General features: G+C 36.5%; 1 protein-coding gene across 13 annotated transcripts in view, besides 1 other annotated feature; it reads left to right on the forward strand.

Annotated features, from left to right (window-relative positions):
* Window positions 1–25,169, forward strand: part of ITGB8 (integrin subunit beta 8) — an 85,989-nt gene extending 60,820 nt beyond the window's left edge. For all 13 annotated transcript variants that reach the window (XM_011515393.3, XM_017012179.2, XM_047420345.1 and 10 more), the window contains 8 exons: window positions 818–913; window positions 4,311–4,400; window positions 8,275–8,409; window positions 11,136–11,541; window positions 14,043–14,268; window positions 15,477–15,586; window positions 19,030–19,193; window positions 19,290–25,169. In XM_011515393.3, the coding sequence (XP_011513695.1) occupies window positions 818–913; window positions 4,311–4,400; window positions 8,275–8,409; window positions 11,136–11,541; window positions 14,043–14,268; window positions 15,477–15,586; window positions 19,030–19,193; window positions 19,290–19,412 (1,350 nt within the window). In that variant the 3' untranslated portion in view covers window positions 19,413–25,169. The remainder of the gene's footprint in view (window positions 1–817; window positions 914–4,310; window positions 4,401–8,274; window positions 8,410–11,135; window positions 11,542–14,042; window positions 14,269–15,476; window positions 15,587–19,029; window positions 19,194–19,289) is intronic.
* Window positions 4,392–5,591: an enhancer, noted in NCBI's record as "MED14-independent group 3 enhancer chr7:20434600-20435799 (GRCh37/hg19 assembly coordinates)". NCBI's record gives its function as "activates an origin of replication core promoter dependent on BRD2, BRD4, P300/CBP and CDK7 cofactors, and independent of MED14, by STARR-seq in HCT116 cells {active_cell/tissue: HCT116}" and the evidence as "EXISTENCE:reporter gene assay evidence [ECO:0000049][PMID:35650434]".
* Window positions 25,170–27,452: the final 2,283 nt, after the last annotated feature.

A 27,452-nucleotide genomic window follows, 5' to 3' on the forward strand; every position in this document is an offset into this window, starting at 1 on the left:
ATATATCATACAACAAAAATATTGAGCATAATGATAAGTTGAGAAATCTGTAATCTATACCTTGTATAAGCAGTTGAAATAAGAATCAGAATTGCTATTAGTTTTGATCACTTACTGCATGCAAGAAAATGCACTAAATAGTTCACATACTATTATTATCTTTTTAATCTTGCCAGCAATCATGGAAGGCAGGTATCATTCACATATTACAGAAGATGGAATTGAGAACTTTTGTTGTAAGGTGACAAACCTAGGACTTGAGTAGAGCATTTCCTGCTTCTAAAGAGCGTTACTATATCATGTTATATATATATGTTATATAACTATATCATGTTATATATCAAATGTGTATATATAGTATATGTGGATGTTTGAATGTGTATGTGTATATATATGTTTATAGGCATATACATATACATGCATACATATTTGCAGTTCAATACTTGTTACTGAATTTCACCTTAGAATGTGATTGCCACTAACGTGTCTCTATTTCTGAATATTAAATTATCTGTCAGTTACACCATTTGGAGTCCAGTGTTAATCTAAAGAGGTGCTGTTCACTCTTTGTTAGTTAGTTGAATTCAGCTCTCTTCATCTTTTTAAGTTACAGGTTTTTATGGGACTTTTGTCTATAAAATATTTTAATACATGGATATTGATGTTATGTTTTCAAAAATTTAAATGTCTTCAGTAAAACCATAGTCCTTCCCAGGTACATTTTTATGTAAGTCATACAGTTTTCTTCATATTAGATGTTTGAATAGGATGGAGCTATGAAATTTCATTCCCTTATTTATTTTATTATTCATTACAGGAACACCCCTCACTAGGCCAACTTTCAGAGAAATTAATAGACAACAACATTAATGTCATCTTTGCAGTTCAAGGAAAACAATTTCATTGGTATAAGGTATGTTAACTCTGAAAATGTTAAAATTAAATTTTTTTCATTGGTAATTGAAATTAAGACATTTCTTTAGAACCACAGATAAGGATTCTGGAATTATTATACTTTGTACAATCTAAATTCTATATTGTATTACTAAAGTATCCTTTACAATGTCTTAACTTAGCATTTAAGCATAAATTCTATTTAGGTTTGTAACATCTAGAACCAAATCTGAGAACTGAGAATTGTATTGGATACACTTGAGTCCAGCCTGATGCTTAGGGTGGTCTCAAATGTGACAATGGTGGAGAAGACTTATCAGGCAAAAAGTAGTTCACAATCCGTCTTTGCATCTTGCATGTCTAGAGTGCTTCTTCTTATTCTGGTACATGAGCATATCCTCATAATAGGTTAAAATTAGAGAATATCAGCTTAATTCTAAATAGCACTGACACACCTAGCTTTGGTCTAGGTCATTCAATAACGGACCAAAAGGGGCCATCGAAGTGTCTGAGCCAGTCAAAGCCTTCACACATAAGAATAATCTTGGTGGTGTCTGGAGTCTTTTGGGCCAGGTGAGACCCTCAAGCAAAATAGACAGCAACTGTGTCACACTGGAGGTGCCATGGACCCCCCAGCATAGAACTGTTCCTCTGCAACCCTGTTATAGCTTTCTTTTCACAATCTTTAAGGCTCTTTCTTCCTAGAAACTCTCTTGTTCTCATTTTCATGAAGCTATGACACCCTAATTTTCATTGTGCATCTCTGTTTACTTGGTCTCCCTCATCTCCTTTGCTATCTTTGTTTCTCCCATCTGCTCCCTAATTATACATTTCCCCTCAGTGGCCAGTCCCCAGTGCCCTCTACTTATTTTTAAAAACTGCAGAGAAATTACATTTTCTTGGCTTCAATAAATACTTGAACCCATTTCCATTTGCCACAAGCTGGTGTTCCCCCTACCAGTTTCCCTATTACCTACCTACCTTATCTGAAAGCACTACTTTAATCGTAACACTTCTTCCTTTAGAAATCTATGGTGAAGCTTTATTTATTTATTTAGGGTAAATGTATGGAGTACAAGTGCAAGTTTGTTACATGTGTAGATTGTGTAGTGGTGAAGTCAGGGCTTTCAGGGTGTCTGTCACTCGAATAGCACACATTGTACCCATTAAGTGATTTCTCATCATCCACCCCACTCCCAGGCCCTCACCCTTCCAAGTCTCCATTATCTATCATTCTACATCATGTATACACATTATTTAGCTCCCACTTATGGGTGAGAACATGTGCTATTTTTCTTTCTGTGTCTGACTTAGTGAAACTTTATTTAATTCCTTGTTTACCCAAATGTATATACCATGGAACCACTTTTTAAGGTAACAACAAACTAACATCTGCAGAAGTAGGACTCTGGCCAAAATTAAATGGCCCAAACCACTTTATTAGCAATCGTAACAGCTTCCACTTATTGTACACTTAACTATTGTCAGGCATTGAGTTTGTAAATACTTATTAATCTAATCCTCTTAGCAACTCATAAAAATGAGGACAGTCATCTTAATATGCCCATTTTAAAGATGAGGAATCATATTTTGGGAGGCTAAATATTTGCCCAAGGGTTTCTAACAACCCAAATCCTCTGCTCTTAACCTCTAAGCTTAATAGTTTACTTTGAAATACCATGCAGCTTTTTATAGCTTTTGCTTCCTCTTTGCTGTTTCTCTAACATTATTTCTTGGCAGCATTATTGGCTCTAGCAGTTTCTTCCTATTCCTTTAAAAATTTGCCATTAACTGATAAACCATAAAACCAGGTTTATTATTAACTAAATTATGCACAAAGTCAGAATCAACTGGCTCCAAAGCCTGGGAAGCTCCGGTGTGAGCCCCATGCATGCCCCTGTAGTCACCTCCTTTGACTGCCTAGAGATCTTTTTTATCAATCACCTTTCACCTGGGTTCTAACAACCTCATGGCTGATAATCCATCCTCCATCTGGCTGCCAGAGTGATCTATTGAAATCACAAGTGTGACCACAGTACTCCCTTGAGTAAAAGTTTCAGCGGTGCCCTCTGAATTAGAGGACCAAATCTCTAAGGTGGCACATGAGGCCATGTCTCTGCTTGCCTTTCTGGCCTCATTGCCCCACTGTTCCTTGCCTTGCAGGGATGCTTCTCATCCCTCCAGCCATGCTTCTAATCCTCCTGTGCACAAACACTCAGCCAGGCTGATTCTCTCCTCTGTGCCTTTGTTCTTGCTGCCCACCCTCGCTTCTCATGTCTGGAAGCCCTTCTCCCTCATTACTTTATTAACTCTTACTCATACTTTAAGGCATGGCTTATAAGTCATCTCCTCCAGAAAACAGTCCTTGGCAACCTTCCCCAGCTCTCAAATGCTGGCCAGGTATCCCTTTCATTAGGGTCTGTGCACATCTCTATTGTTTCACGTGTTCACATGTACAGTGTTTAGTGAAGAAATTGTCATTTATATGCTTGTGAGATCCTTAAGGGTGGAAACTATGTGACCTAGTGATTTGGCATCTCCAAAGTGTATAAAGTAGGAGCTCAATAAAAGTCTAATAAATGAATTTTTAAAATCTATAAATGATACATTTTTCCTTATGACTTGAGATGCCAAGTTGTTAGTGTCTAAGTAATGGCTGGCATCCAGCAGGAACTTAAGGATATTTGTGAATAGGATAAAATGCAAGAATAAATGGATTTCAAAACTTTTTACCATCTGATTTCCTATAAGTACGTGCCCTTTAGTCAGATTGGCTTTTTTCTATTTTTGCTTCATCTTCGATTCATGCAGACCTTTAAAGCCTTTGCTCATTCTCCCTAAAAATACCTACGGTCTTCTCCATAATAAGCAGCATGCATCAAGAACACATACCCCATGAAGTTTCCACTTGTGACTATGATTTTTCCTAACTAAAGAAGTTTTGGGAAATGCTGCATTAAATAATGTTAAATCATTTCTAGATTGCAGGCCTACTCTGAAACTTTTAATTTGCAAATGTGCATTTTATGTTTCTAAGTGGAAGAAACCATATGCAGAACTTCCCAAGCTCATTTGCCCTCAAAACTTTTGTATGTTTAAAATCTCTTGGGCTTTACATTCCATGGAAGAAATTTGGGAGATGCTCATCTGCATTTCGATTGGATTTTTAGGTCATCAGGTACAGTGATTCCGGATGCACACACAGTCATGCACATGTACAGACACACACAACCACTACATGGGTATATGTTCTGGCTGCTCTACTAGGTTGCTTATATTTTTCTTGTGTCTTATAGGTTTTCATTCATTTAATGGTTCACCTTCAACTGATAACTACAAAAATATTTACTATTTGTTGGTTGCTAACCCATTACATACTATTGTCATTGTTTAAATGCTACTGATATGTTTTATAGGATCTTCTACCCCTCTTGCCAGGCACCATTGCTGGTGAAATAGAATCAAAGGCTGCAAACCTCAATAATTTGGTAGTGGAAGCCTATCAGGTATGTATATATTAGATACAATTTTTTAAATAAAATTTTTACCTCAATTTCTGTGACAAGGTACAAAGTAGTGCCATGTCATCTCGAGAGGAGGAGTAGAAAGCATATTAGATTAGGAATTAGGAATCTGAAGTTCATCCCTGGCCCTACCACTAACTAGCTTTTTGCTTTGGGAAAGTTATTTCTGCTTTCTGTGCCTCACTTTTCTCATTGACAGTCAACAGAGATTGGGCTAGAGGCTATCTAAATTTCCTTCTACATCCAGTGCTCAGTGAATCATCAAGTCATAGCTATAGAATGTACATTATTACCATGAAATTGCGTCATTTCCTATGCCGTAATGATAAAGTAGAAGTCCACAGTTACGTAAGGCAATAATCTGCCAGGGCAGTTAAACTATCTGGGATATAGCAATTATTAAGAGGAGTCGGTTGGGATCTCTATGATCAACCACTTGATTGTTCAACAATTATTTTAGCATTTTTATCAAAAGAGTTTGATTAAAAGAATCACCTTAGTAGATACTCTGTTTTCTTGAGTTGATGGTTGTATGCTGTCATCAGTCCTATGAAGAGTGAATGCCTCAATGCAAAGAATTTAAAGAAACATCTGTTCTTTCAACCTGCGTCATTCCTGAATAGAACCACCTCTGTTAAGATGTTGTGAAAATAGTGACTGCTACTTTTTTACCACTAAGATCCAGTCACTTTACATACATGACCTCATTCAGTCCTCACACCTGACCTATAAAGCAGGTGGTTAGTACCCACATTGTATATTAGTAGAAACCAAGACTCAGGAAAGTGAAACAAACTTATCAAAGGTTGTTCAACTAATAAGCAGAAGAAAGTGGGATCAGAATCCAGGTGTTCCTTTACTTCAAGCCTCAGGTGCTTCCTCCTCTGCGATACCACCTGTTTTTCATTGTTTTACAGTGTGTCAAAAGATATGCTTTATGCTACCTTGAATTTATGGGCCAACTATAGAGTCTCTTTCCCAAATTCTCTGACTCCCTTCCTAACACGCAGAGTTTAATAGTTAAATTATAGCCAAAGCATTGTGGAAAAACCTCTCGTTTCTCTTCTCGTTTTCTCCAGACAGCACCTTCCTTTAGCTTGGGCACAAAAGAGAAAGGCAGGAAGTAGACACAATATATGAAATGAAGAACTTAGGCCGGGCGCGGTGGTTCATGCCTGTAATCCCAGCACTTTGGGAGGCCGAGGCAGGTGGATCACGAGGTCAGGAGATTGACACCATCCTGGCTAACACGGTGAAACCCTGTCTCTACTAAAAAAAAATTAGCAGGGCATGGTGGCGGGTGCCTGTAGTCCCAGCTACTCGGGAGGCTGAGGCAGGAGAATGGCTTGAACCCAGGAGGCGGAGCTTGCAATGAGCCGAGATTGCGCCACTGCACTCCAGCCTGGGCGACAGAGCAAGACTCCATCTCAAAAAAAAAAAAAAATTAAGAACTTGTTTAAACTTTCATCTTCTAAAAGGAAAATAAATCTTGCTTGATTTGTTTTCACTGAGGATAGTTTTCTATGTCTGAAAAGTACGTTGAGTAAAATAAGGAAGAGCGTCTTAAATTACATCTTTCTCACTGTTACAAAAAAGAACAGTGAGACTGAAGAGGGACTTATCACAGAAAATCAAATGTGTCTACAATTCATTCCCATCAGTAGTCTGTTCCCAAGAATAATCAAAATAAGACAAGAGCTTATGCTGTAAGAAACCACTCTAAATTCTTTAGTATGAACCCATTTATTACTCCAAAAAAAGTATATAAATTTACAGATTTTTACCTGTGTGTCAGACTGCCCCAGTGGCAAAGGAGACAGCAACATTTGGTTATTTTGCCTAGCATAGGTATGCAATGCCTTAGTCCAGTGTAGTTCTCATCAACCGTAAACAGTGGAAAAATAATATTAAATCCAACAAAAACTTACTGGGGCTAACTACTCTCCTTAAGTTGGAATTCTGTTATTATTTTATATATGTTTATATTATCAAAAATCTTCTAAACTTTCATTTTGTCTTCACAGTCCAACAGAATCAATTCACAATCCATTGAAGAATTATATAGAATCTGCCTCTGTACCTATTAGATACTAAAAGGGAAGCTCAAGATTATGTCTGGGGTTGGATTTCTGAATCCCCAAACTGGGCAAAATTTTAAGGATTTGTCTTCACATCAGGCTTGAAAAACATTGGCCTAACTAGCTAAGATCTTTTCCTTTTCTTTCTTTTTTTTTTTTTTTAGATGGAATTTTACTCTGTCTTGCCCAGGCTGGAGTGCAGTGGCGAGATCTTGACTCACTGCAACCTCCACCTCCCAGGTTCAAGTGATTGTCCTGCCTCAAGCTCCAGAGTAGCTGGGATTACAGGCGTATCACGCACACCCGGCTAATTTTTGTATTTTTAGTAGATGCAGGGTTTCACCATGTTAGCCACGCTGGTCTGGAACTGCTGATCTCAAGTGAGCCACCTGCCTCAGCCTCCCAAAGAGCTGGGATTACAGGCGTGAGCCACCACACCAGGCCAACTAAGATCTTAAGAGAAGCAGAATTTTAGAAGGGTAAACTGAGGATGCTCATTGCGTTAGGCATTTCCTTCTGATCTGCTGGTTTTCCACATATGAACATCTTTGTATACCACTGGAAGTTTATATTGATTTACCAAGATTATACAATTAATTGTTGCAGTGTGTATGAGCTCTCTGGAAGACATAGTCTTACCTACTGTAAATAATATTTACTTTGAGAAATTAGAGGAAAGTCTCTTGTTCTAAAGATACGCTACCAGAATTCCATGATCAATTATTTGTCAGTAAGCACGTGTTTCTTTGTTGATTATACCATTGAAGAAGAGAAATCACTCAAGTAAAGAATTAGAAGCCACTGGAAATTATTTTTCTTTTCATAACCCGCTGCTCACTCTCTTTCTTTAGGCACATACTTCGTTTTTCCTTTTTTTTGTTTGTTTTTTTTTTGGCAAGTGAAGGATTTTTGCATGTGGTAGACTCTTAGTTGTATGGAATAAAATGCACACAGATCTGAAGTATACATTAAAGGTAGCTGGATCCTTTGGAATTTGAAGATTGTAATGAAAGAAATTAGTGTGTGCCTGCCACACAATAGGCATTAAATAGATATTTATTGAATGAGTGTATACATGGGTGAATAAATGAATGAATGGTTTTCTGCCCAGTAAGAGGACCTATTTTGGTATTAAGGATTGCAGCAAGCTTGACTGACACAAACAAGTCCCAAGGACTTGGGAAAAATTCTAAGCCATTCTTGGAGAGCCTTATAGAACTATATCTGTCCAGTAATTCTTGCTCCTTCAGTGTAGAAATGGCCTCCCTAAAATGTACTTGTCAATTCTGTGTCAATAAGTCGTTTTAGCTATCATGATAGTCTCAATTGTTTGAAACAAAAATATTTCTTTAGCAGCTTTATATGGCAGAAGCATTTTCCACATTTTAAGGTGTCAAGATTTACCCTTTGTGATGATATATGTGTTCTCAAGGTTTAATTACACTTTATCATAAAATATAGTTATTACTGGATTAAAAATGACTGTTTTGTTAACAGACTGATAAATATCTTTGAAGGGCTCAAAATGCAGTCATGGAAATATGTAAAAAAAATAGAACAATTTGAATGCAGATAATCTAATCCTTCAGTATTTCTTATGTATTTCAAATATAATTGGGTCATTATGTGGAAACACTGTTTTTATTCATCCTTTTATAGAAACAGACTCTTTGATCTAGTTAAAATTAAATCTATAATGATTTAATAAGCTTGACTCTGCTTTGTTGCTGACATTTGAAACTACTCTCGTATGTAATTTAAAAATAATGTCTCTGCAGAAGCTCATTTCAGAAGTGAAAGTTCAGGTGGAAAACCAGGTACAAGGCATCTATTTTAACATTACCGCCATCTGTCCAGATGGGTCCAGAAAGCCAGGCATGGAAGGATGCAGAAACGTGACGAGCAATGATGAAGTATGTGGGTGTGCATTTTTCCCTTTTAAAATAAACTAAGTTGTTTGGCGTACTTTCTTACAGAAAAAGCAAACCATTCTGAAAAATTTTACTTACTACTGACTCTAAGAATCTTATTTATACTTCAAGGAAACTTTCATTGTCTCTCCTCAAAGTTCCTACTTGTTTTAGCTCAGCTGATTGTTCTCTCCAACTCTCAGGTTTTAATATGTATATGTGTGTGCGTGTGTGTGTAATATGAAACAATCATGTATCAATAGTAACTTTAAACTTAGGCGTCATGACCGGTATAAATTAGGAAATCACATATTCTCAAATAAGTAGTGTCTGTACTTATAATAATGATAATGCCTTTTTGATTTCATATTCACAAACTCTCAAAGTAAATGTAAAATTGAAAGTCACATATCACAGAAAAGAATGGGAATGATAGAACAGTTGATAAAGGCTAAGAATTTCAAAATCTTTCACTTTGTGATTGCCCCAGTACACTCATAATTATCTAAATTATCTAGAAGGAGGTAGGGAAATTTATTAAGAACAATACAAAATGGGAAGAGTCATCATTTACCAAAAAAAAAAAAATGGGATGTAAAGGAGAGAGATCCAGATTGTAACAGTATCAGGAAACAGCACCAGAGGAGATAGAGATTCTCCAAGGATTGGCACAACGGAGAGAGTAACACAAAGAAACATACTCTTTAAGGGAGTCTTTGCTGGGTGAAGTGATTTTGATTGAGTCATTTACGTCATGAGGCATTGTCTCATGTTTAAATGAATGACTTGGACTAGTAGATTTCCAACCCCTTTTAATCTAAAGTGCAATGATGATTAATTATGTAATGTCATGCTATAGAAAAAAAGAAAAAGTTATTGAAAGTGATAGAAGATTCTAAAAATGAATAAAAGAGACTCTTCTCTTTAGTTAGAATATGTTTTTCTATCTTAGGAATTTTAGAGCTGTGTATTTTAAATTAATTATTGCAAGTTTCTAATTCTGTGGTTTCTTCTATGATCACTCCGTGGATTTTGTTCAAAGGACATCATATACCAGTTTGCAAAATGCACTTTGGCTTTTCATTAAAACTACAGAGAAAACTTTTTACTAGCAAATATAGCACTAAGTTACTTTATGAAAAAACGCTTACTGTCTTAGAAATAGTTATTTCCTTCAAAATGTCATTTTGGAAGAATGGTTTTTCTTAGCTTTTACATTGTTTTTTTTCTTTTCATTTGCTTACATGCCATCTTTCCTTCATTTTCAATTGAGTAGTATAAATAGTTTAACTCTCAGGAATAGTCATATGACCTCTTAATTATAGAAACCCCAGAGTATGATCTACTGTTAGAGATGGCAGTGGCCACATTAACTTATGTATCTGTTAAGCTTCAGCATTCTCAAAGACAAAAGCATTTTAAGCATAACACCAACTGTATTGATTTTAATATTATGGAACAAATTCTAATGTTTCATGTATATATAAGCCAAATTTAGATACTTTATATTATTATATCGTAGATATATATTCCAACCAAAAAGCTCAGCGCAAATTAATTTTAAATTGTAATGGATCTCAATCCAACGTGAAAGAAATATACCTTCTTATTTACCAAAGTACCTAAAGATGGTAAGGTGAGCCAACAAATATAAATAGACATATTAAATCAATTGTGTTGTGCAAAAAGAAGAAATAGAGAAAAAGAAAACATTTGACCAATTCCTGCCAGCACAGCTCCTTAGTTCTGGGCTATCTTCTTCCATGGAGACAAATAGATAACCTGTGTTGAGGTCTTAAGATTTGCAAATGAGAGTCCTAAACATTTTTCTTTCGAGTAACATCAGAGAAGGCCACAGGTTTTCCTCCACTGAAACCCTGTATAAACTAAAATTTAACTCCGAAACTTTACTTGGGCTCCTAGAAAATAGGAACAAAATTAAAACTGTTCATTTGAACATCTTATCTCAGGGTTTTGATTTTTATTTATTTATTTATTTTTGAGATAGAGTCTCGCTGTGTCACTCAAGCTGTAGTGCAGTGGTGCAATCTCGGCTCACTGCAACCTCTGTCTTCCGGGTTCAAGCAATTCTCCTGCCTCAGCCTCCCTCCCAAGTAGCTGAGACTACAGGTGCGCGCCACCATGCTCAGCTAATTTTTGAATTTTTAGTAGAGATAGGGTTTCACCATGTTGGCTAGGCTGATCTCGAACTCCTGACCTCAAGTGATCCAACCGCCTAAGCCTCCCAAAGTGCTGGGATTACAGGTGTGAGCCACCACGCCAGGCCTCATCTCAGGGTTTTAAACCAGTAGAGCAGAAGCCCTTTACTTTGGTTTATGTGATCTATCTCTAGTGTCAAATATTCAATACCCCACATTTTAATGGCTGAGTTTAGAAAATGGCCTATTCTTTCTCATGTTTGCTAAGAAATTAATCATCAGTGATGGGGTAGATGCTTCAGATAGGCTTGCACTCAAGTCTATTTAATGGTGCAATATAGGGATTAGTAGTTATTATATTCTTTAACCCTCAAGTTCATTCATTGGAAAATAAATGACTTTAAAAAGAGATGTTGCATATATATGAAAGAGATTACATGTGTTTCTTTTACAAATATCGTTAATTTCTCTAAGATGGTTTCTTATCAATTCAGTTATTAACAGATATAATATTGGTAATAAAAATAATTAAGGTATATAAATATATTTCCTTTTTCCTCCTAAATTTAGGTTCTTTTCAATGTAACAGTTACAATGAAAAAATGTGATGTCACAGGAGGAAAAAACTATGCAATAATCAAACCTATTGGTTTTAATGAAACCGCTAAAATTCATATACACAGAAACTGCAGCTGTCAGTGTGAGGACAACAGAGGACCTAAAGGAAAGTGTGTAGATGAAACTTTTCTAGATTCCAAGTGTTTCCAGTGTGATGAGAATAAATGTCATTTTGATGAAGATCAGTTTTCTTCTGAGAGTTGCAAGTCACACAAGGATCAGCCTGTTTGCAGTGGTCGAGGAGTTTGTGTTTGTGGGAAATGTTCATGTCACAAAATTAAGCTTGGAAAAGTGTATGGAAAATACTGTGAAAAGGATGACTTTTCTTGTCCATATCACCATGGAAATCTGTGTGCTGGTGAGTATAAATATATACAGGCAGCTTTTACTTGTCACTATTACACCAGCATAGATGTTAAAGTGTCTTTAAATCACATGTTTATAAATTAGCAAAACTGAATCTGAATTTGTTATTCAAAGTTTCAAAGTCCATGAAATTAGGGCATGGCAACAGATTTATAGTACGTGATTTTGATATTTATATCTTAACCTATTTTATACAGGAAATGCTTCAAAATAAAAACCTAAAATTAATTGTTATTCTCATGCTTTCCTTGATCTTGGAAAGAAATATACCAGAAAAGGAAATGCTGATGATATCTGACACATTTTCCAGAAGAATCAGAGTATTCTTCTAGAAGGATCTGATTCATTCTGGTAAATGGTCACTCCCTCCAACTTGCTCAGAGGATTTTATTTCTGTCAGGATGATGGGGAGTGAGCTATAAGAGTATACTTTTCATTCATATGAAAATCCTTAATGCATTATTATAAATGGTATTCTAAGCTGGCAGTAATTTAAGCCTCTCCAGTTTATTTTGGGCCACCACCAGCAACAAAACTGCCAAAGGACAGCATTCTTCAAGAAAATACTGCCTTACTAAGTAATCTAAAAGATTCGTCCTTGAGGCCACACACAGACCAAATTTTAAACATGAAATAAATTAAAATAAAAATACGAAGATCACTCTTGGGCCATTCAATTTACTGCCACCTACAGGTTAGATTCCAGAAAATCTAATCAACATTAGCAAACTAAAACAAAATACTGTTTTTAAATGAATTAAATAAACTACCTGTCATCTGAGTTCTGTGATAATTTTCCTGTGACAATGTGCTAAATTTACTCATTGAGAAAAACATCTTTTTAGTATTTGCATTTTAGTAAATAAATATTTGTTAAATTATTGACGAATGGAAACGTCATCATAAGCATATGGGACGTAACAAACCTATAAAAAATAAATGCTATAATGTAGTCTCAGCTGAAAATTTGGCCTGTATCACCTAAATGTGCAATGGAAAATTGTCTTTTTATTCTGTAACATACATAGAATATCTTAATATACAAACATTTATTCAACTGTAACTGACATCATGGGTAGGATGGATTATAGATGACTTTAGAATGAAGCAGCAGTTGTCTACTGTATTTTATAGGGAGGAAAAATATTATTTTACAGTGAAGAGAAAGAATTTTCTGAAGTCACGTCCCACAGCTGTCAATCTCTCAAGAGGGTTTCAAATACATTTGAGTATTTGTCCCAGTCTCTGTTTGCAGTGAAATATCGAATGTACTAGCTTTTCTATATGAGTATGATACTACTGACCCACAAGCAGTTGAGAATCTGCTTTGAATTGTTTCTGTGTAAGTGCAGACTGTAACTGACATGTACTTTCTCCACTAGTCTCCTTTGGGAATAAAAACACATGTTCACAGGCCTGCTGGCGGGGAGTCAGCATAAGCCTGCACAGCACAGAGGGCTTGGCCGACATTTGTCTGGCCTGGACCTCATTAGTTTTACACTTAGCAAATTGAGCTGGTCCTACAGTAGAATCTGTGGAACAATTACCCTGTGAGGTGCTCAGCAATAAAAGAAGAGAGAGAGGGAGCTAAGAAAGGAAAGGAAGGGAGAGAGATAGAAGGAAGGAAGGGAGGGAAGGAAGGAGGAAGGAAGGGAGAGGGAGAAAAGAGGAAGGTTGGTTTGTGGCTAGATAAGCTTCAGAATTCCTATATCATCATGTGAAATGTACCCCCTTTTGACGATTTCTAGTGCACATTGGCATATTAAGTTTTGGACACTTTTACTGTCTAAAATCCATTTAACTATGTGTAACTATGTTTTCTTCACCCCACATGCATAATGTTCCCCCACCACACACACCATCTTTCTTTCTTTTTTTCATTTACCATCTAAGAACTGCTCACAGTATAGAGGAGGATCTGCTCTGCTAACTTACTAAATAGTGCACTGAGGATGTGAATGCAATTGTTCAACTTCTCAAGAGACCTGATCTTTAAACATGGCACTAGCAGTACTGAAGCACTAGAAAAGTTTGCCTCACAGTCCTGCAAAGTTATCCTAGGCCTTCAGCAACATCAGAAGACTGAGAGAATAGGTGATGGAAGCCATATCAAATACCTGTATCTTTTCTAATTTCAAGTCAGGCAGTTAACATTACTTTGGCCTTTGCAGTTTCTTGATATGTGTGTTTTTAATGTAAAACGGAATATGCAATGACATTCAAGTAGTCTGGCAGCCACTGAAGCAGGGGTGCCCTTCGTGCTTGTTAGCGGAGTGCATTAGCATGGGGAGATTATCTACAGTAGAACAGCTTTGAAAACAGACCCTCCTAAATCCAGCACTGTTTGTGTCAGACCAATGAAAAAGTGATGCTGTTCCCATTCATTGGACTGTCAGTGCGTTTCCATGGAGATGATACAGGAATCCATGGTTGAAAACTCTTTACAAAGTCAGTGATCCAGATAACATAGGTCCTGCGGTGTCTTCCTCACAGGGCATGGAGAGTGTGAAGCAGGCAGATGCCAATGCTTCAGTGGCTGGGAAGGTGATCGATGCCAGTGCCCTTCAGCAGCAGCCCAGCACTGTGTCAATTCAAAGGGCCAAGTGTGCAGTGGAAGAGGCACGTGTGTGTGTGGAAGGTGTGAGTGCACCGATCCCAGGAGCATCGGCCGCTTCTGTGAACACTGCCCCACCTGTTATACAGCCTGCAAGGAAAACTGGTATGATTTCTTTGACTCCAAACATACACAAAGAATAGCTACTTTTGTCCTTTTTCGTTCTGACTTCCTTAATCTTAAACGTTGCCAGATACATTGTGACCACCATGCTAAAAAAGAATTAAATGAGAAATGCTATGAATTAGAAGACTTGAATTCAAATCTTTGACCCCTGGATAGCTGTGGAAGCATCAGAGTATATCTGGACACTCACTACCTTAGCTTTTTTTGAAATTAGAGGTTGCCTGCTACCCAGCTTACTATTTAGTAAGCGTGTGATCTCGGACAAGTTGTTATAATTTTCTGTGCCTCAGTTTCCTGATATCAAAAGTGAGGATAGTAATAATACCTTGCTGTATATCTGTGAAAGTATCAAATGATTCATATAAAAAAACTCACCTTTGTACTTGATGCATGGCAATCATAGAATAAATGTTAGCTGTTACTGCTATGTTTTATATTTAATATATATATATATTTTTTTTTTGTGACAGAGTCTCGCTCTGTCACCCGGCTGGAGTGCAGTGACATGTCACTGCAAGCTCCGCCTCCCGGGTTCACGCCATTCTCTTGCCTCAGCCTCCCGAGTAGCTGGGACTACAGGTGCCCGCCACCACGCCGGGCTAATTTTTTTTTTTTTTGTATTTTTAGTAGAGACGGGGTTTCACCGTGTTAGCCAGGATGGTCTCAATCTCCTGACCTCGTGATCCACCCACCTCGGCCTCCCAAAGTGCTGGGATTACAGGCGTGAGCCACTGCGCCCGGCCTTATTTTTAATATTTTAATGATAAAGAACAATGGTGTCTGTGACACACCCTAGAAATAAGTGATATATAAATGAAAGGTTATATATTAAATGAAGGTGACATTACTGTTTTGTGCCAATAAATTTTTCAGTAACAATTTGAGATCTGCACAAAGACTTCTAATCTAAACACTGTAACTTCCAGTTTGTTTTATTCAACATTTTAAACCATTGACTTTCTCAGATTAGTAGCTCAAGTAAGTTTTTTAGAATTATGCATGGTAATTTATTTAAATCATTTGGAAATGCAATCCTTCGATGTAATGATGGAGTTAGTTCTAATGAACATAATCAAAATTTGAATTGTTTCTGCATTGTTATTTTGTCTTTTTTTTTCTTGCAGAAAATATTATAGTCCACCACCTTTTTAAAGAATAAATATTTTCACTTCTGTTTCCCCTTGCAGGAATTGTATGCAATGCCTTCACCCTCACAATTTGTCTCAGGCTATACTTGATCAGTGCAAAACCTCATGTGCTCTCATGGAACAACAGCATTATGTCGACCAAACTTCAGGTAGGCCAAAGCTTAATAATCAAAGCACAGAAGAGTGTCTGTAGAGGATGATGTTCCCCCAAAAGACCCATAATTAACCATGCTAAAGAAAGGACTGGGCCGGGTGTGGTGGCTCACACCTGTAATCCCAGCATTTTGGGAGGCCAAGGCGGGTGGATCACCTGAGGTCAGGAGTTCCAGATCAGCCTGGCCAACGTGGTGAAACCCCGTCTCTACTAAAAATACAAAATTGGCCAGGCGCAGTGGCGGGCACCTGTAGTCCCACCTACTCAGGAGGCATAGGCAGGAGAATCCCTTGAATCCGGGAGGCGGAGGTTGCAATGAGCTGAGATCATGCCATTGCATTGCAGCCTGGGCAACAAGAGAGGAACCCCATTTAAAAAAAAAAAAAAGAGGACTGAGGGCTTTATTTTTAAATTATGAAACATTGCTTTATTCTTTATAACAATAATAAATGTGTGTTTTTGTGTCATCTTCTACCTTAGATACTTCCTTCATGTTCACTGGCTCACTTAATGTCATACAACTCTTTGAGATTGGTATAATCTCCATGTTATAGATGGGGAAACTGAGGCTCAGGGAAATTTTGTATGAGGGCTGCTGTCTCTTAACTAGTAATGTTAAGATACATGTCTTAGATCAAGATCTTCAAACTAAAAGTTCCATACACTTTTCATTATGTCACATTTATAATCATTCATCCTTAAGCTATATTTTTATCAAAATGAAAAGTACTAGGAAGGAATGGCCCTTTTGAAGTTACATATTTTGTAAAAGCAGATCATCATTACTTAGGATTTTTTTGGCTTCACCTGAAACATGAAAGCAAATATTGATTAGACATGAGGAAGTTCAGAACTAGAAGCAAGTTTGGATTATGAAGGAAAATTATGGCTCCACAGATTTTATCTGTTACTGAAATGAGTTTACATGGGGAACTCATATTTCTGGTTCACTGAGGCCTTGACAGCCAATTTATTTGGATGCCTTTCCATGGAAGTACGTTGCATGGGAATTCAGCTGTGTAGATGAGAGGGGAAAACTAACCACTCAGCCACACCATAGCAAGCATACTCATCTCTGGGAGATTTAAAAAACTGAATCGCAAACTCATTATATTGTATACATTAATATGTGCAGTTTTTGTATATCAATGATACTTAATAAAGCTGTTTAAAAAAAAAAAACAACAAAAGCAAAACAAAACAAAAGTTATTTAGAACCCAGAACCTTACTTTGCACAGGGGTAAGGTGTGGAACTCCACGGGCATTAGAAACTAACCTTGAAATTATATCTTTATTAAACATTCCCATTGCAACTATTATTTCAAGTCTCTCCCACCTGTAAGAAAAATCCCAGCTCTTAGAGAGACTGCACAAAAGAGTAAACTTTCTCCAGAGTTTTGTTTCCTTTTTCCCTCACATCCACACTGATCTTACCCCATAATGAACTTGGCTCTGAAAAAAGCCCCATGTGCTGCCAGCTGGAGCTGCGGCAATCACTCCAGAAAGCCAAGTGCCTTTCTAATAAATAGGGCCTTACTATCAACATGTCATTTATTATGTTAAGTAAACACTACTTTGACTTAAGTGTTGTTACAAAAAGTATTCTCTTAAAGCTCCTTAGGAAAAGCCCCGGCCTGACCTAAACTAAGGAAAGCATGGGCTAGGCATGAATGTTTGACCACTCATAGCATTTAAATATGCATGCAGATTTGAGCTCTGAAAATGCCCTCTGTTCTAACCTATTAGAAATATTTCTAAAATGTGTCAGTAGCTAGGGGCTGCCCCTCCCTTCACAACTATTGTGCAAGGAGAGGGAAAGGGCATTTGTTAGGCACCTCTATTATCTATCCACTCAGTTGCACTTAAAGGCTGTTCTTTCAGTCTCTCTGGCTGAGCTCCCACCAGGCGAGAAGCCAGTAAGTGGGATCAAGCCACGTGCCCCCTCTGATGATCTGCCTTAGCTGATTGAGTAGTCCTAAATCAACCAGAGGAAATGACAGTCTGTCAGAACAAAAGGCATGTATGTTATGAGCCCGAAGTCACTGTGGAGGCCTCAAAAGACACCAATTTTGAGCAGAATATTTTGGATTCTCTCTCTGTGAGACCTGTAGCAACAGAGACCTGCACTGGCATTTGGTGTTTCCATTCCAGTTGTAGCACTGGGATAGCCTTTGACCTTTCTTTCAAAGTACCTTATCACAAAAAAAAAAAAAAAAAAATAGGCTTAATTAAGTCTTCCCACTTGAGAGGAACCCTTTCCCTTATCACTGAGCTTGGCCTTATTCAAAAACATACTTAGTCCTCACTGGAAATTCTGACCCAAATCACCCAGGATTGGTTGGGCGGTCCACTATGCTAAGCCTTGGCAGGTCACCTCCGTAGTGGCCCTCTCAGGGACACCTTGGAACTTTGGATGAGGTTCCCAAACTCTGGAGAGTAGGGAGGGGAACACATGCCACTTTAGCCACAAAGTAATTTTATGAATCTGGGGCAGCTGGTGAGTTCCATGGACTACTTGCCTATTGTGCAACCATCTTCCTGTTAGATTAGGGTAATGCCTCTGGCAACAACAGAGCCTGTAGACTTTCAAGCACCAGATCTTTGGCTGTGAGGGTGTGCCAAAGATCTGGTGCTAAAATGAGATCCAGCATGCCCCTCCTCTTAACACAACATTTCTTTTTCCAGCTAGTAATTATTTGTCCTAAGCATTATTTATTCTTAAAATACACAGTGCATGTTTAGAGGCAAATGGAATAGGTGTAGTTAACAGACTAGTAAAAAGTAAATTAATGAAAATGAAGAATGATATTTTCATGTTGTCCCAAATTGGACACTCCTATTTCCTGGAGAAGCCGTGTATAATAAGAATGAAAATTTACACTTCAATTTCTGAAGAAATATTTATTCACCTATTGGAGTAGTTTTGATTTTAGCTTCTGCAGATGTTTACTTTATTTTCCATTACTGGCATGGAACAAATGAAGACCAAGCATAACAAGAGAAACATATCCTAAGGCCCAGAACTGCTCAATAATTTTTTAAAATCCTCTTTTCCATTTAGTGATCAACAGTACGTACCACAAAAACTAGTCCTCTTTCTGTCTTGGATCAAATTATGCTTGGTTATGGGACATGGACATATTCCAGTTAATACAATTAAAGAATCAAGCTGCAATGGAATAATGTGATTGAATACCTTAATCATGGCTATTTCCCAAAGGAGGGTTTTCTATTGAAAATATTTTCATAGTAAACGCGCAAGAAAAATTAGAGAGCTTTTTGTTTTGAATCAAAGGTAATTTCAATCCCGATTTGAAAATGGAGATTTGCAAATATCTTTGGCACTATTAATTGAAGTGTGAACATTATTTACTTGATAGACTCTTTGATTTACTTATTCCAATTTTTAATCCATTTATTTGTTTGCTTCATTACAGAATGTTTCTCCAGCCCAAGCTACTTGAGAATATTTTTCATCATTTTCATAGTTACATTCTTGATTGGGTTGCTTAAAGTCCTGATCATTAGACAGGTGATACTACAATGGAATAGTAATAAAATTAAGTCCTCATCAGATTACAGAGTGTCAGCCTCAAAAAAGGTCAGTGAATTCTAAAAAAGAACTGCTAACAGTATGTTATTGCCTAGTTACAATATTTAGGCCCTTAGTTAATAATAATATTTCTTCTCTATTAAGGATAAGTTGATTCTGCAAAGTGTTTGCACAAGAGCAGTCACCTACCGACGTGAGAAGCCTGAAGAAATAAAAATGGATATCAGCAAATTAAATGCTCATGAAACTTTCAGGTGCAACTTCTAAAAAAAGATTTTTAAACACTTAATGGGAAACTGGAATTGTTAATAATTGCTCCTAAAGATTATAATTTTAAAAGTCACAGGAGGAGACAAATTGCTCACGGTCATGCCAGTTGCTGGTTGTACACTCGAACGAAGACTGACAAGTATCCTCATCATGATGTGACTCACATAGCTGCTGACTTTTTCAGAGAAAAATGTGTCTTACTACTGTTTGAGACTAGTGTCGTTGTAGCACTTTACTGTAATATATAACTTATTTAGATCAGCATAGAATGTAGATCCTCTGAAGAGCACTGATTACACTTTACAGGTACCTGTTATCCCTACGCTTCCCAGAGAGAACAATGCTGTGAGAGAGTTTAGCATTGTGTCACTACAAGGGTACAGTAATCCCTGCACTGGACATGTGAGGAAAAAAATAATCTGGCAAGTATATTCTAAGGTTGCCAAACACTTCAACAGTTGGTGGTTGAATAGACAAGAACAGCTAGATGAATAAATGATTCGTGTTTCACTCTTTCAAGAGGTGAACAGATACAACCTTAATCTTAAAAGATTATTGCTTTTTAAAGTGTGTAGTTTTATGCATGTGTGTTTATGGTTTGCTTATTTTTGCAAGATGGATACTAATTCCAGCATTCTCTCCTCTTTGCCTTTATGTTTTGTTTTCTTTTTTACAGGATAAGTTTATGTATGTCACAGATGACTGGATTAATTAAGTGCTAAGTTACTACTGCCATAAAAAACTAATAATACAATGTCACTTTATCAGAATACTAGTTTTAAAAGCTGAATGTTAATAGGGGACACTGTAAAGTATCATCAAAACCTGAATAGCTTCATTGTGCACAAGTGTGGAGTTTTGTATCCTCTTACCTGGTAAACTGAAGGGATTGTTTGGCCATTTCATTTATCTTATCATTAATTCACAAGATAGTTAGAAATTCTGCCTCAAGCAAAGTACCACATTTTGAATGTTTTCTTAGATTTTGATTGCAAGTAGATATCAGCATTTTTTAAATGAAAAGCTATATTATCTTCTCCCTTCAAGGCAGCCTAAGGATGTTCTTTCCCAGAATCACTCCAACCCTTCTTGCCAGAATTCATAAAAGTACAAAATTGGAGAATAGATGATATCTTAGAAATAAGCTTTTTTTTTTTTTTTTTTTTTTTTTGAGACGGAGTTTCACTCTTGTCACCCAGGCTGAAGTGCAATGGCGCAATTAGGGTTCACTGCAACCTCTGCCTCCCGGGTTCAAGCAGTTCTCCTGCCTCAGCCTCCTGAGTAGCTGGGATTACAGGCATCCACCACCGTGCCCAGCTAATTTTTGTATTTTTAGTAGAGACGGGGTTTTGCCATGTTGGACAGGTTGATCTCAAACTCCTGACCTCAGGTGATCTACCCTCCTCGGCCTCCCAGAGTGTTGGGATTACAGGCATGAGCCACCATGCCAGGCTGCTAATTCTCCTTTTTAGTGAGTTAGGGAACTGAGCCTCAGAAAACTTAAACGATTTCTCAGAAAACACTCAAGTGATAAAGTGGCCACATTGGAAAGGAGTTTTTATCTTCTCATTGTCAGGCCAGTGTTCATTGCACAATATCATGCTACCTCTTGAATCTTTAAAATATTCAATTGGCAAATGTTTTTCAATGTGATTTACTCATGTCTTAAGTGTATGAGGAAAGTTCAAAGCAAAATAGAAAGGAATAATTCAAACTGAATTGTCCATAATCAGCTTCCAGTCTTTCATGCTAATCAGCTTCTTAAGAGACTGAAGTATGGCATACCTACAGGGGAATTCCTTCGCACCATAGCCTGTATGAACAGTGTTCCCTGGAGTTCTCCAGTGCTCAGCTTGAGACCTTGATACACGGGCCATGAGCCCTGTCTTCCCCAATGGAAATTTATTTACACTTACCTTATCCCTATGGACTTAGTCTGATTTTATTGGCTAGGAGTCTAACAGTCCTGTGTGGATATACAGTTTTGCCCATGACAACAAAGGAATCTATCCGAAATATCTTTTTTTTTATAATAAACTTCCAAGATTTGCTGTCTTCCAGCACTTGAGTTAAAGTACTAGATACTGCATTTTGATGAAGACTAACCCCATCTCATATTCTACCCTAAAGAGAACTGAAAAACCTATAATAAGTTGTTCTGGAGCCAATAAACACAGCAGCTCTGTTAGATGTCCTCTACAGCCAAGCACTTTCAATGCTAACTTGAACTGCATTTCCTTCCTCAAATGAGAGATTGACATAATTCAGTACTGTGAGTCACTTGTATAAGAAACCTTTGATCACTAAAAATAATGTAAAAATTGGGTTTAGTAGCCTAATACACATAACGTTCTTCTTAAAAAGGAAAATGGATGGATGCCTGACAACCCTCCAAAAGAAAAAAGTGTAAGATAGCCATTAAGATGATGACAATTTTTGAAATGAACATTATGATATTTATGAACAATAAACAAATTTCCGTATGGAATGAATTATCCAAAAAGAGTATAACAAAATGAAATCCTTAAAAATCCAGAGTTTATATTTTTTTTATACCCTCACTTGTTTGCACTAACTTTATAGTGGACCAAGGCTGTTACCATAGGAAGGGACAAACTTCCTTGTAGGCAACTCAGTGTTAGACGATGATTGTGGTTATGCTTGCAAAGTCTTGTGCTTATCTTTTTTGTTTTTACTTAAAAAGCTAATTTTTAAAGATTGTAGGGCTTGTATTTTACTTGAATAATTGATATCTTCCTGTGTAATGATTTGTGAGATGAGAATTAATATTTGACTAGTTAGAATTAATTAAATGGTAAGGGAACACAGGGTACTCTTAGGTTAAATAATGTATGCAAATAGAGTCTATTTTCAACTAATATGGCCACAGGAGCCTTTTGAGATTCATTGATATTAAACACAATTAATGAAATTTTAAATTGTTAACAGAATTGAGAACTTGAACAACACTTTTAGTACTGCAGCATTTTTGTGCCCTAAAGTATGTAATGATTTATAAATGTGCCATACATACACTACAACATAACATTTGCTTTGTTATGCATTTTATTTCTCTGGGGACACCATTGCACTGCAGTGCACACGTATTTATAAACATTTGTTATATTTTTGGAAACTTGCTAATATTTATTAAGTCATAGACTTTTCTGGAGGACTTAAAAATTCACTAAAAATCTGATTATGTCTTAAATGTTCAGTTTATCTTTGGTTTATTAAAATAAAAAAAAAATCTAAGATTAAACACAGTAGATATCTCTGGAGGCAATTTTCCAAAACTCAACATTAAAATTTGTGGATGCATGAGATGCAATCCTTCAAAGAATGAATCTGAAATATATTTTTAATATTTACTTAATATCCACTGAAGATATCTTTATGCAAGACAAGAGTCAGCCATCAGACACTGAAATATATTATGATAGATTATGAAGAATTTTCTCTGTAGAATTATATTCTTCCTGGAACCTGGTAGAGTAGATTAGACTCAAAGGCTTTTTCTTCCTTTTCTTACTCCTGTTTTTTCCACTCACTCTTCCCAAGAGATTTCCTAAAGCTTCAAGCTTAATAAGCCTAATAGTGAAAAATAACTGAATTTAATGGTATAATGAAGTTCTTCATTTCCAGACATCTTTAATTGATCTTAAAGCTCATTTGAGTCTTTGCCCCTGAACAAAGACAGACCCATTAAAATCTAAGAATTCTAAATTTTCACAACTGTTTGAGCTTCTTTTCATTTTGAAGGATTTGGAATATATATGTTTTCATAAAAGTATCAAGTGAAATATAGTTACATGGGAGCTCAATCATGTGCAGATTGCATTCTGTTATGTTGACTCAATATTTAATTTACAACTATCCTTATTTATATTGACCTCAAGAACTCCATTTTATGCAATGCAGACCACTGAGATATAGCTAACATTCTTTCAAATAATTTTCCTTTTCTTTTATAATTCCTCTATAGCAAATTTTTATGTATAACTGATTATACATATCCATATTTATATTTCATTGATTCCAAGACATCACTTTTTCAATTTAACATCTCTGAAATTGTGACATTTCTTGCAACTGTTGGCACTTCAGATGCAGTGTTTAAAATTATGCTTGAATAAATATTACACTAATCCAACTTTACCTAAATGTTTATGCATCTAGGCAAATTTTGTTTTCTTATAAAGATTTGAGAGCCCATTTATGACAAAATATGAAGGCGAAATTTAAGGACAACTGAGTCACGCACAACTCAACATGGAGCCTAACTGATTATCAGCTCAGATCCCGCATATCTTGAGTTTACAAAAGCTCTTTCAGGTCCCCATTTATACTTTACGTGAGTGCGAATGATTTCAGCAAACCCTAACTTAACTAACAAGAATGGGTAGGTATGTCTACGTTTCATTAACAAATTTTTATTATTTTTATTCTATTATATGAGATCCTTTTATATTATCATCTCACTTTTAAACAAAATTAACTGGAAAAATATTACATGGAACTGTCATAGTTAGGTTTTGCAGCATCTTACATGTCTTGTATCAATGGCAGGAGAAAAATATGATAAAAACAATCAGTGCTGTGAAAAACAACTTTCTTCTAGAGTCCTCTTACTTTTTATTCTTCTTTATCATTTGTGGGTTTTTCCCCCTTGGCTCTGATCACTTTAACTTCAAGCTTATGTAACGACTGTTATAAAACTGCATATTTAAATTATTTGAATTATATGAAATAATTGTTCAGCTATCTGGGCAGCTGTTAATGTAAACCTGAGAGTAATAACACTACTCTTTTATCTACCTGGAATACTTTTCTGCATAAAATTTATCTTTGTAAGCTAACTCTATTAATCAGGTTTCTTCTAGCCTCTGCAACCTACTTCAGTTAGAATTGTCTAATACTGCTCTATTAATCAGGTTTCTAGCCTCTACAACCTACTTCAGTTAAAATTGTCTAATACAGCAATATTTAAAAAAAAAACACTGCAATTGTCAAGGATGGAAAATGTGTGATTTGTGTAAACAATTTTTACCAACTTTACATTTTCCTACAGATAAATGTGAAATTTTGATAAGAAGTCTACGCAATGACAAGTATGGTACATAAATTTTATTAAGAATATTGAGTATAAAGTACTTTAATTCTAAATTATAAGAAAATATACATTTGCACATATTAATATAGAAATTCATTTTGTGTATATTTAACATAGCTTTTAAACTATTTTACATTAGCTACTTCATTATGGTTTCTTGAACTTCTGAAAAAAATTAGAAATGTATTAAACTTATCAGTAACATAAAAACTTATTTTGTTTCACCTAACGAATACTGCGTTTGTAAAAATAAATTTAATATAGAATATATTTTTAAATTAAATATTTGAATATAAAATAGCTCTAAGAAAGAAGCAAATTATCACTGAACATATTTCTTATTATTTCTGGCTTTGAATTATACGTAACTTAAATTGTCTTAAATGATACAGAATATTGGAGAATATGATACTTTCACATAATATACTATGAACCTGTTCATATAACTCTGATTGACTACTAACTTCTGTTTTATGTATTTATTAAAGAGCTGACACTGTAGTTTGTGGTGAGATGTTTATTTTTCTAACAGAGCTTATAACAGTTAGGACAAGGCATTTAATTAATGCATCATTCTGTTTAGTAGTAGGTGTTAATCAATATGAAATTCTCTGTTTTAAAATAAAAATGTAAAAATCTAAGAATATGCAAAACGCTTCCTTATTTACTTTGTGTTACATTAATCTCAAAGCTTCCAGACAACAGTACTTTGTCCCCCAAGGAAATGTAATAGCATCTATACACTGTCATTAGCAGAGGACATTACATAATTCCAAAAAGATATTACTCCTAGAAAATTGTAGGGCCAATGATAAACAGGGGAGGCCATCCTAGTTGTTCTTTTCCTTTTTGATAGTTATTTGCAGTAGAAACAGAAGAAATATTCTAATGACAAAAACCTGAAAAAAATAGCTAAAAGTTAAAACAGGCATTTTCCATGTGCCAGAGACTTCTACCACCACCTTAGGTGTGACACATTCATAACCTTCAATTGCACATTCTCAAGAGTCAGGCTTAAATTAATTGAATTTTATTGAATACCCATGTATTGTGATTTTTCTTACCCTAGAGAAGAGAATAAAGCAGAATGTGGTAGATACTGAGATCAGCTCAGTCGTGGAGACCCTAACCCAGCGGCGCCAGAGGAATTAAAGACACTCACACAGAAATACAGAGTGTGGAGTGGGAAATCGGGTCTCACAGCCTTCAGAGCTGAGAGCCCCAAACAGAGATTTACCCACATATTTATTGACAGCAAGCCAGTCATAAGATTTACTAAAAGCATTCCTTACGGGAAATAAAGGGATGGGCAGAAATAAAGGGATGGGTCTGGCTAGTTATCTGTAGCATGAACATGTCCTTAAGGCACAGATCGCTCATGCTATTGTTTGCAGTTTAAGAACGCGTTTAAGCAGTTTTCCACCCTGGGTGGGCCAGGTGTTCCTTGCCCTCATTCTGGTAAACTGACAACCTTCCAGCATGGGCATCAAGGCCATCAAGAGCATGTCACAGTGCTGCAGAAATTTTGTTTATGGCCAGTTTTGGGGCCAGTTTATGGCCAGATTTTGGGGCCTGCTCCCAACAGATAGATATATTAAAAATGAAATAAGACATTTAGACAGATTAGCTGTTCTTAAGGAGCTTTTAATAGTTTGAAGGAAAAGATAAAGTGTAATGCACCTGGTATGGTTTGGCTGTGTCTCCACCCAAATCTCATCTTGAATTCCCATATGTTGTGGGAGGGACCCGTGGAAGGTAATTGAATCATGGGGGCAGATCTTTCCAGTGCTATTCTTGTGATAGTGAATAAGTCTCATGAAATTTGAAGGTTTGAAAAAGAGGAGTTTCCCTGCACAAACTCTTTTCTTGTCTGCCACCACGTGAAGTGTGTCTTTCACCTTCTGCTATGATTGTGAGGTCTCCCCAGTTATGTGGAACTTGTAAATCCAATAAACCTCTTTATTTTTGTAAATTGCCCAGTCTTGGATATGGGTGTATCAGCAGTGTGAAAACTAATACAGTACTTTTCGATAGAAGGTCTGTGCTAAAGAGACCAGATGGACACTTACTGGCAGGTTTCACAAGGCCTTTAGTTTTGAGAACTCATCTCAATTGTGTTTGACTGCAGTCTTTCAAGTTTAGAATCCTGATTTTTTTATTGAGTGTTATTTGACCCATTTCTTCCTTTCTTCTTTAGTAATAGAACCTAACTCCTGAGTTGCAGCAGAGCACACAGTTGAGACCCCCAGACTCCTTTGTAGCTGAATGCAGCTACAGAACTTAATGTTGGCCAGTGGGATGGAGGAGGAAGTGATATGTGCAGCCCTGGGGCTCACTTCCTCTTCCTTTCTGTTGTCTGGAACAACTGGAGCTGCAGTCCTGGCAAAGGAAGCCTTGTGCTAAAATTCTTAGAGCTTCCCCTTTACCCATTGACTGTTCACCGCAAGACATCTCTGGTAGGAAAACAATCTTACCTAAACCATTGCATTTGATATTATAGCAGATAATCTCTACTGTAACCAATGAAGTTGTCTTTATATAATTGTCTCACTGAATCCTCAGGAGCAAAAAGTACCATTTTCCTTAATTTTTCAAATAGGGAAAATAAGTCACAGAAAGGTTAAGGATCTTGTATGAAAGCATGCAGCCAGTAAGTGGCTGCACTTACTGCAGGATTCATACCCAGATCTGCTTTACTTTCCATAAGTAACTTATCTATTGTGAGCACAGATTTTACTAGCTCAACAATCAGAAGTTAACCTTTGTCCCCACACCCCATAAAACATATGCAACAAATAAAGCTGAGGAGCTGATATATGTGTACAAATACTACACAGGGAAACAACATCCTTTAAGATGACAAAATTAAAAAAACCTTTAAGATGGTGAGAGGTACTCGGATTCCAGAGTTAGGAGAGCCAGGA

This window comes from Homo sapiens, chromosome 7 (genome assembly GCF_000001405.40).
Source record: "Homo sapiens chromosome 7, GRCh38.p14 Primary Assembly".
Taxonomy (NCBI): domain Eukaryota; kingdom Metazoa; phylum Chordata; class Mammalia; order Primates; family Hominidae; genus Homo; species Homo sapiens.